The 11,463-nt window shown below is 33.2% G+C and overlaps 1 annotated feature.

Moving 5' to 3' along the window:
* Positions 1,003 to 1,562: an enhancer, noted in NCBI's record as "OCT4-NANOG hESC enhancer chr13:89976834-89977393 (GRCh37/hg19 assembly coordinates)". NCBI's record gives its function as "activates a minimal SCP1, AML or CMV promoter by ChIP-STARR-seq in naive H9 embryonic stem cells {active_cell/tissue: H9 hESC(naive)}" and the evidence as "EXISTENCE:reporter gene assay evidence [ECO:0000049][PMID:30033119]".

Below are 11,463 nucleotides of genomic sequence, written 5' to 3'. Positions count from 1 at the left end.
TTAAAAAAAAAATTAACGGTAAATATCACCAGGCATTCTTTTTTTCACCTAGCAAGAATAACAATAGACATTTATTGTTTTAATTCGCAACAACAATACCTTTTAGGGACTAAAAATTTCACAAGATATTAAATTGTTTCACTGTATTGATGAAGTTAAGCTACCTGGATTTTATAAGTGGGGGTTGCAAGCAACTTAGATAAACACTAAGACATGTCATTTCCAGAGCATGAGAAAATTCCCAATAATATTCCAGGGTCTGGCACCCCATTTAGTTTCCTGGATCTCAGAGGTTTGCAACAGCTGAGATATAACCTTTAAATAATAGGATAAACAGCTCTGACTTAGACAGCTTACTACTATGAAACAGAAATATTATGTATATCATGGCAAGGTAAGGTAAGAAATCACAGTGTAGACCCTAAAATCATTGAATGCCCAATTTTAAACAGTAATTCTTCAGAGAAACTGATTCTGGCTTATAGCTAGGTTCTGTTAGGTATTGAATGCCTGATTTTGGCTTGCTATGAGACCCAATAACCTTAGCTGCACATAATAACCATCATTTTGGATGTTGTATGATCAAAATTGCCATTAAACCGGGTATGGTCATCAGCTCCCCATCTTTAAGTGGAAGTGCTATATATGAGGTACTTCCTTCTGTTGTATTGTCAAATTTCCCTGTATTCATCCATACGTCCTCCTGGACAGTTCCTTATCACCAGAAAAGCTAACAATTGGTTTACAGATATTCCTACGAGATACCCTATCCCTTGTTGAAAATGGAGAAACTGAAGTCATTGTAGAAATAGCTTGAATGAAAGTAGAGAAAGTAAAATTTCCTATCTGCCAGAAATTCTAGTCATTCATGGGGTTGTCCACTTTGAATAAAAAGAGAGATTGCCATAGATAGAAATCTACCCTTGTTATGGTTGAGGGTCTCCAGGTTCTTGGCGTATTGAGCAAAGAATTGGACAAAATGCACAAACAAAGCAAGAAAAGAATGAAGAAACAAAAGCAGAGATTTATTGAAAATGAAAGTACTCTCCACAGGGTGGAAGCAGGCCCGAGCATAGGGGCTCAAGATCCCTGGTTACAGAATTTTCTAGAGTTTCAATAACTTCTAGAGGCTTCCCATTGGCTACTTGGTGTATGCCCTTTGTAAATGAAGAGGATAAAGTCAAGTTACAAAGTCATTTACTCAGTATGCCCCCTAAGTAAATGGAGAGGATGTTACTGAGTGTGTATTGTCTATATAAAAGGAGAGGAGAAAGTGAAGTTGCAAAGCCATTCACATTCCTGTCATTGCTGAAGTGTTTCCATTTGATTTAGTTCTAGGAAGTCATTGTAAATTGGCCTTATGTTCCCTGCCTCCAGACCCTATTCTCCTGCCTCACCCTCATTAACAGGCAAAAGTGATCTGACCAAGATGGTCTGACCACTTCCCTCAGCTTGACAAATTGCAGAGAGGTGTCTTTTTGCCTTTACAGCCCTTACAAAATCTAGATGACCTAACCAGAGAGATCTCTCACCTCATTTTTTTCAAAGTATTTAGTTTAGAAAACTTGTAATTGCAATTTTTTTCTGTCCTTTTGAAATATAAGGTTTTTTGTTTTGTTTTGTTTTTCAAAAAGCCTTTTGACAGTTTACAACCCAGTACTTTCTTTCTCAAGGATCTCAAAGCCATCCCTTTGAAATGTAACCATTAAAAAGATAGTGTTCCTATGCTAGTCTCTGAAGGAAGGTAGGGACCTAACTTCAGAGGGCCCCTTGTTCCAAGTTGTAAAACTATCTCCTGTCATGAAGATAAAAGAAAGTTTACTTTACTTTTGGGTAAGACCAATTACCAAATATGAATGACATATAATCCCCTCATACCAGCTTTTAAAAATTCTCTCATTATTTATGTCTTCAGTTCAGGTTGCTTTTTTTGTTTTTCTCTTTCATTGCAATAGCCTTAAATAGTTTTCCTTAAATGTTTAACTTTGTCCAGTAACATTTTTACTTCCACAGGTCAAAGACTTGGAAGCAAAAACATTATAAAATTTAATAACAGAAAGTCTGAAAAACGCAGTCTGTGGAAGAAACTGTGTGAATGGTCATATATTTTCAGAATATTTTTGCCTGTGTGAACGTACGCACACACACACACACACATCTTCAGAAAATGCTTTTAATAACTAGTTGAAAAAGACTCCATTATTTGAACGTCAGTCAGCTTTTTTTTTTTTTTTTTCTACCTGATACTGGGCTTAGTCAACTGGCTCATAAATAAAATGACCATGTTGATAGTGATGGATCTTATTCACAAGATTAACCACAGGGATTACCTTTTACAAAAGCTTATCTAGTTATCACCAGTGACATTCCTGACTATCCAAATGCAAAGGCTAATGCTGACCCTGAGCATAACACCATCCTCTGATAAACATTCTGTCATCTCTTGGCAAGTTGATGAGTTTGGGGTCTTTCATCACGGAGGAGTGTGAGTTTTCCTTTTTTTTGTTTTTTTTGTTTTTTTTTTTAAAATGCTTTCCTCCTGGAAGACTTTTTCACTTAAAACCAATATTCAAATGCCTTATTGTCAGTTATTTTGCTCTACAGGAAAATACTTCAAATCATTTACAACAAAGGAAGTGAGGCAATGTACTGACACCGGTCATAAGTGATTGCCGGAAGACGTATAAAAGATGCAATTATGTCGTCAGGTGGTGGTTGGAGTGTTATACTACAAGATAATACTCTTTGAATAACGGTATGAGTCTGAGAACAATGGGGTGGAAATAAAAGCCATAGAACTCTAAAATCATTATAATGCAAATATGAGGGTGTACACATGTTCATGAACTCACAGACAAAAAATAGTTGGGAAATATATCAAGTTATGTCTCCATGAGTGTGTCTGTGTGTATAGAAAACATTTGGACCTCTATATAAATGTGTAATTATCAATTTTTATTGGATATGTATTTATTTTAAATTAGAACCTGCATGTGTTAAAATGCAGGTGGGTTTGGTAGCCATTAACACCAAATCCACTATGTGCCAAGCTTTTTTTGTTCTAGCGTGTCGCTTCATACATGTTAGATGCTCATTCACTGTTTCTGGAAATAAGATTAAAAGTGGCATATAAGAGAATAAATTATAGCAAATCAGTAGTTATTTTACAACACTTTGTTTCTTAATTATTTTATATTTTGTTTTGGTTAAAAAATCTATACTAATCATACTCTGCAGTGACTCAAAGGCAAGATAATCACATACAAAATTACTTACTGTGAACCATATGATTCTTTTACCCCCTGCGTACATAACAGTTTTCCCCACTTTGCAAACCTAATCGTTAATCAGCGTGGATCTTTTCGAAATTACTTGTTTACACTAGTGGCTATTGAGCTACAGAGTGCACATTCTATTAGAGTGACCCAAAGCCCTCACAGCCAAAGCAGAAAAATCAGTGCGAAATTGCATGAGAGGGAACTGATAAATGCCTGTCTAGACACCCTGGGAACATTGGCATCATGATGTTACTTATTAGGTAGACCCCATGACATCAATGATGACACTAATAATAGCTCTGGCCTATATAGAACTATGTCTTTTTAAAGGTGATATGAATACATCATATAAACAATAACTAGCTTCAAATTTAAGTACAGTGACAACTGTATCTTGAAGAATTGATCTGTGATTTTCTCCTCTGTTTTCCTGTGGCTCTCTATTCTATCACTACAACTCCTAGCCTTGTGTATTTTCTTCTCCTAACACATAATGAGATGCCATATCTAAGATTCAAAGAAAAGACAGGGAACTGAACTTTTGAGAGAGAAATATTTACACAATTGCAATAAATATGTTTTTTCCTTGATACTAGATATGACTTTGCTTGGAGAAAGAAAAGGACTCATTTGAGGAATCGGGTAAACAAGAGAAAAGATATGAGAAGGACAGAAAACTGCAGGGAGTTGATACACAGTGTGGCTGTTTTCTATCAATGAGCTCCAGTTAGCCAGAGACAAACCTTGCAACCACCAGTTATCTGATAGGTTTCCTGTGGACAGCCTCCTATGTGATAGTCATGCACACTGCAAGCAGCATCCTTTTCCCATAGCAAATGGTAGTCTTGGGAAACATGAGTATGGTTGCTATTATAGGAAGAATCAAGAGAAATATTCCCTATGAATTAAAAAAGAGAATACCCAAAGTAATAATGAATAAAATCACAAACAGACTATTTGAAACAATTGGCAGGAGTGATGAACCCTGGTTAATGCCATGAAAGACAAATAGAACATAAATAGGCAAAATTTAAAAATCAAGGTGAAAATAACTGTAGACAAAAAAGAAATTCTTAAAAATCCCAAGTAACAGTTTTGCACAACTTAAAGCAATTAAAATGAAAATGTGAATTTAAAAGATTGTTTTTCAGAACAAATATATAATTCTAACCACTAAATTGAAAACAGATAACTTTGCACTCTATGAAAGTTAAAAATAAAAGAATAAGTATTTGTAGGCATTTGAATTTAAAGATAAAGAAAGCAAAGTTGATTGGTTAACTGAATATCATATTAGGTAGAATTAATGCCAAAAATATTTCATAAGGTAAAGACTGAACTTTATTCTGCTAAATGTTACAATTCACAATTTAAAAAATTATACCTAACTATGAAACAAATATAAAGGCAACATTTAATTCCTATTAGAATGGATTAATTGAATCCATTAATTAAGGAATTAAGTGGTCAACAAGAACAATAACAAAAAAACTGAAAAGAAGAAAAACTGAAAATTTAAGAAATATAACCAATAAGGTAGATTGATGATATGCTGTGTGTGCATATGTAATATGTGTATGTCCATGTATACACAATAATTACCAGAAACAAAAAAAATAATTGTTATATAATAATTATAATACAGCAATATCTTCTTAACTAATTATAATAGAATTAGAAATCAATAATGAATCAGAAATCAAATACAAGCTTCTATCTGAAATTTAACACAAATCTTTCTTTTTCAATAGCTGTTATGTCAAAGGAGGTTTTAGAAAGAATGATAATTGAAATACTAGTTACAGGACACTTGGGTTGAATGCACAGCAATACTCACAGAAAATTCTGTACCTTGTATGGTTCTTTCAATAAAAATAAATTATGAAATCATACAGACGAGGTGTGCAACTCAGATTATTGAAAAGAGAGCACACATTTATAGAAAGAAAAAAGAATGACAAAATGATAAATATAAATGCAGAAATTAAGAGTTACAAAAGAGAAAAAAATACATAATTAGTTGAGAACCAAAATTCCAGATTATATGAAAAATAAAATTAAATTCTAGCTAACCTAATCATGCAAAAGGGAAAATGCACTAATATACAAATGTAGAAAATATTCTGACTAAAAAAAAGAACTGAACTAACTTCAAAGATGACGTTCTAGTTGACACAAGAATGCATCACATTCAGAATTTACCAAAATGAAGTAAAAACAAACATCCTATCAATTTGCATCACTAGACATTGTCATCTTTGGCATTTATTTGCCAGGGAACTCTAGCAGCACTATCATTTTTTTTCTTTCTCTCTTCTCTTCTCTTCTCTGCTCTTCCTTCCTTTCTTTCTTTTTCTTCTTTCTTTCTTTTTTTTTCTTTTTTTTTTTTTGAGACGGAGTTTCGCTCTTGTTGCCCAGTCTGGAGTGCAATGGTGCCATCTCGACTCACCGCAACCTCTGCCTCCCGGGTTCAAGAGATTCTCCTGCCTCAGCCTCTTGAGTAGCTGGGATTACAGATGTGCACCACCACTCCCAGATAATTTTGTATTTTTAGTAGAGACGGGGTTTCTCCATGTTGGTCAGGCTGGTCTAAAACTCCTGACCTCAGGTGATTAGCCCACTTCAGCCTCCCAAAGTGCTAGGATTACAGGTGTGAGCCACTGTGCCTGGCCAGCACTGTTACTTTCATAGTGTTATATGAAATATGCTTCCCAATGATAAAGTGATTATAAAAATTCCCATGCATAATTGTCCACGAGAGCAAATTGGAAGTCATCTCTGGTTGTGATACACCAATTACTGATGGCCTAAGAAAAGTGCTGAGACATATGATGGCCGGTTGCAATGCGACACTGGAAATAACCTCTGGAGAATATGGCTGTGTTCAGAATGGAACTATTTACAATTGGCAACGGAGTAATTTCTATCACTATAGTGGCAAAATAGTAAGTAACTATATCCACAGTTAGATTTTCTCAATGTTCAATAATCATTTGTATCCTTAGGGGCTGTTTTAAAGCATATGCCCTTAATCATGTAATTCAAAATATGGAATGGAGCCTTTGAAAAAGTTGTTTTTTAGAAAAGGTAACATAGTGTTAAAACATTTAAAAGGTTCAAAATAAAACAATATAAAATAGTATAAACTGAAAACCGTCTTATACACATTTCTGTCTATCCCATATCTACTTCCCTGACCCTGGAGAAAAAAAAAAGTAAGTTTCGGAAATTTTTTTCCAATATTTCTTTATGCAAATAAAACATATTTTTTATTTCCTCCCCTCTTTGTAGTGTATAACATATGCTGTTCTCAACCATCTGTATGCCCTTTATCAATGTATCTTGATAATTTTTATACAACTGTAGTGATCTTCATTTTTGGGTGTGTAGCTATTAAGCATTCTTTTTTTTTTTCTTTTTTTCTTTTTTTCTTTTTTTTTTTTGAGATCGAGTCTTGCTCTGTGGCCCAGGCTGGAGTGCAGTGGAACGGTCTTGGCTCACTGCAACCTCAGCCTCCCGGGTTCAAGCAATTTTCCTGCATCAGCCTCCTGAGTAGCTGAGATTGCAGGCACCTTCCACCACCCGCAGCTAATTTTTGTGTTTTTAGTAGAGATGGCATTTCTCCATGTTGGCCAGGCTGGTCTCCAACTCCTGGCCTCAAGTGATCCACCAGCCTTGGCCTCCCAAAGTGCAGGATTACTTGAATATTCTAATTCTAATAAGTGGTTATAGCGTAGTATATTTTAAAATACCCTTAAAGAGAAGCACTTTAATATTTTACATGTTATTTTGTTACTTCAAAGAATATAGCAATAAATAATGATGTACAAATATAATTGTGTGTGTATATGGGTGTAATCATAGAATAATTTTTAGAGGAAAAACTACAGAATCAAAAGGTTAGTTATAATAGAAGTTGGCAAATTCACCTCATTGAGAGTTATATCATTTTCCATTCTCAAAAGCCATGTTTGAGAGTGCCTGTTTCTCCACAACTTCATGAATAGAATGTGCTGTAAACCTGTCAACTTTTGGATAGTGCTAATCAGATGGAGGAGAAATAATTTCTCTTTGTAGCTTTAATTTTCATGTATTTTATTATGAGTGAGGTTGAGGACCTTTTCATATGTTTTCCTATGATTCATATATTTTAATAACTGTCAGTTTATTCCTCTTGTATACATTTTATTAATGAGCTATTTGTTCTGTTATTGATGTCTAAGAGCCATTTACATTACAAAAATCAATCCTTAGTGGCATGGGTTTCAATTTTTGTTTTTTAGTTTGCTATTTATTGTTTGTGATTTCATTTATTTTTTTAAAAAATGTGTAACTTTTATTAGTCAAATGTATCAAAAATTTTGTTGTTCCTGTGTTTTTTGTTTGTTTGTTTGTTTTTTGAGACAGAGTCGCCACTGTGTCGCCCAGGCCGGAGTGCAGTGGCACCATCTTGGCTCACTGCAACCTCTGCCTCCTGATTTCAAGAGATTCTCCTGCCTCAGCCTCCTGAGTAGCTAGGATTACAGGTGTGTGCCACCACACCTGGCTAATTTTTTGTATTTTTAGTAGAGACAGGATTTCACCATGTTGGCCAGGCTGGTCTCAAACTCCTGACTTAAGGTGATCTGACCACCTCTGCCTCCCAACCTGCTGGGACTACAGGCGTGGGCCACCGCGCCTGGCCATAGTTCCTGTTTTTAGCAGTGATTAGAAATACTTGCTCAACTTTAAATTAATATAAAAATATACAGTTTTCAGAAATTTTTATTTTGTTTTTTCTTTGTTTTCCCATAACCATTGATTTAAATGTTCATCTGTATTACCACTGATTTGAGATTCTAACTTCCTTATATATAAAATTGCCATAAGTACTTGAGTCTGTTTTTTTTGAGTCTGGAATTTATATTCTGTTCCAATATTCTGTTTGTCCATGTATTTGATAGAGCCATACAATATAAATTAGGCGAAGACAGCCTTTCCCCTTGCTTTACTCTTTCAGAGAGATTTTGAAAATATGTTTGTGATTCTTTTCTTATAAAGTTAGAAATTGTATATTTTTAGAAAAAATGATAAATGTATTGAATTGCATTTGAATATAATAATTAATAAATAGATAAATGGCATGTTTGTCATGTTTATCCTTTTTATTGGAAATTATGGGCAATTTTGCATTTGTTCAAATGTAATTTTTGTTATTCATAAGTGTTATAAAGTTGATTTTTGTTTAAATCTAGAACTTTTTTTATTACATTTATTTCTAGACTTTTTGTTTTTTATTATGATTAGACAAATGATATTTTCTTCCGTTACATTTTCAAACTTTTGTATAGCGGGTTACTGATGTATGTACAATAATTTTATGTACCACTAATGGAATGCGTTTATTTATAGTAAAAGTTTTTAATTAATTTTTGGACAAAAATAATATTTTTAATTTGAGTATTCATAAATGTTTACATATGTTGATATTAAAACATTTGTACCTATTTCTACATATCACATTCTTTCATTAGCTTAAAGTCTATAGTCCATCATAGAAAATGTTATTTCTTCCTAATATTAGTGGAACTGCTACTAATAAATAATGCGTATTTACTAATTACGATGCTGGCTTAAGAACTGTGTACACATACAAAAATGGGCACACCACACATCTTTACAATTATATATGTGAAAAATGTATGTATGTGTTTGTATGTATTGTGCAGGTAAATATATACACATTTATATGAAGTGAAATGAATGAATTAATTAATTTTAACTTTTAAGTTCAGGGGTACATGTGCAGGTTTGTTATACAGGTAAACTCACGGGAATTTGTTGTACAGATTATTTTGTCACCCAGGTATTAGGCCTAGTACCCATTAGTTATTTTTCGTGATCCTCTTCCTCCTCCTAACCGCCACCCTCCAGCAGGCCTCAATGTGTGATGTTCCCTTCTTTGTGTTCATGTGTTCTCATTGCTTAGCTCACACTTGTAAGTACAAATATGTAGTGTTTGGTTTTCTGCTTCTGTGTTAGTTTGCTAAGGATAATGGCCCACAGCTCCATCCACATTCCTGCAAAGGACATGATCTAGTTCTTTTTTATGGTTGCATAGTATTCTGTATTATATATGTACCACATTTTCTTTATGCAGTCTATTACTGATTGGCATTTAGTTTGATTCCATGTCTTTGCTATTGTGAATACTGCTGCAATGACCATATGTGTGTAATTGTAATTTCTTTTGTGCATATGTCTATATATGTACAGACACACATATGCATGTAAATATACACAAGCACATACATACATGATACAAGGAAATATTTACTAATACTAGTCTATTTAAGGGCTTTATATTTTAATTAAGAATTATTCTGTTTTGCCCAACAATTGCAAAAAACTACGTTTTCAATCTTTAGATCCACTAGTATCATAAATTGTGTTTAAATAGCTCTAATATTTAATGATTCTTAAAATACACAGTATTCATGTAATTTCATGTTACTTACACATATATTTATATATGTATTTACATATATATTTATAGCTGGTACTGGTGCTGATTCGTGGTCTCTATCTCTCTAACAGCCTTTGTCAGGTTTTGGCATGATAGTAAGGGCTCTAATTTTTCCTTGAAGCCCTCATTCTCTTAATTCCTTTGAGCAATACACTAGTCTCTTCATCACTCCTTCATCTTGGGCCTACTAATTTTTTTTTATTTCTATGGTATTGAGTGCTCTTATGTAACTATGCTTTTTAAATAGACTTAAAAAATAAATGTTTAATTAGTCCAGATACTATTAGAGTTTTCAAAACATGTGTTTTAACTCTGTAATATAATGATCAATTCTGTCTAGTTCTGTTTTAAAATGTGTAACTTAAAATTTTAAATTACGGCAAATGATTCTGTTGACAGCTATATTTTAAAACATTACACACATTTTTCAAATGCTTAAGGTACAGGGGAAAAATCTTGTAGGTTCCATGAATAATCAAGAGTTCAGAAAACATATTTTCTTGTCTTCCAAGCATCCTTTCCAAGACTTCTTCCTGTTTTAAGATACAAAGAAAATTCCTAATTTTAGAATTCCAGTAAATCTATCTCAGGGCTTTCATTTTAAATACTGGTTGGTTAAGTTTGGTATAAAGTTATACTCATAATATTTGCATCCCCGTGGTATTTGAAAGTAAATATGATTTCCTACTTTTTCTTTATCTGTTTTAATATTACATTATGTAAAAAATGTGCATATCTACAAAATTATAGAGAATAGTTTGGAAGGAAGGCAACTGGACATGTTCAGAGCAATGCTGTTTTGTTTCTGTTTGCCATTTTACAACTGCCTGACCTCAGAATGTACTTGATGCTGCAGACGAAAATTGCTGACACTGATAAAAAAGACTGTGCTGAGAACTGAATTATTCTAAACCTCAGATTCAAGGAATTTTTTTCTAGAAGCCAATGAACTGTTTTGATAACACTTTACCACCAATCAAAATAGTAGGTTTTGAGTGAGCTATTGAGTACTAACTTCCTAATTCCTTTAAAAGTCAGACTCAAAAATAGCTGGTCAGGACACAATTTCAGATACCTCTGGAATCTGTGTTTCTCAGTTGCCATTGTAAGACCAACAATAAACCCCTTTATTTGGATTTCAGTCTCTTTTACTCTTTGGTTCAGAATAGTGTAATGTGGCACCATTTATAGACTCCCCCGTTCAAAAATCATTAATCATGGCCAATCATCAGTATCTTTGCTCACATTCTTTCATTATTTTATGTTAAAGTAAATCCTAGATATATGTTTTAAACTATGGATAATGCAATAATTATCTCTAAATTTAAGGACTATTAAAAAATAACCAGAATATCATTATCACCCCTAAAATATTTAGTAATAATTAATTGATATTTCTTAATACATTTCAAGTTATTAGTGTTCAATATTCAATTGCATGACTGCCATTAGTATATTAAATATAGTTCATTTATCTTTACAAAACTCAGATTCTTATAATCACTCCATAGAAGAATATAAAAATATTGCTTATTTGACCCACGGCTGCAGAACATATTGTTGTGTATAGGTTTGTTCAACCAACTCTCTTTGAGATAAACATTTAAGTTGGTTCCATTATTTTCTATGAAAAATAGTCCTGTAATGAAGAGATTTGTGCATCTGCCTTTCTATATATTT

The sequence above is a fragment of the Homo sapiens genome, chromosome 13, assembly GCF_000001405.40.
Source record: "Homo sapiens chromosome 13, GRCh38.p14 Primary Assembly".
In the NCBI taxonomy this organism is placed as follows: Eukaryota; Metazoa; Chordata; class Mammalia; order Primates; family Hominidae; genus Homo; species Homo sapiens.
Note: the sequence above shows the minus strand (reverse complement) of the source record. Positions and strands in the feature narration are given on the sequence as shown.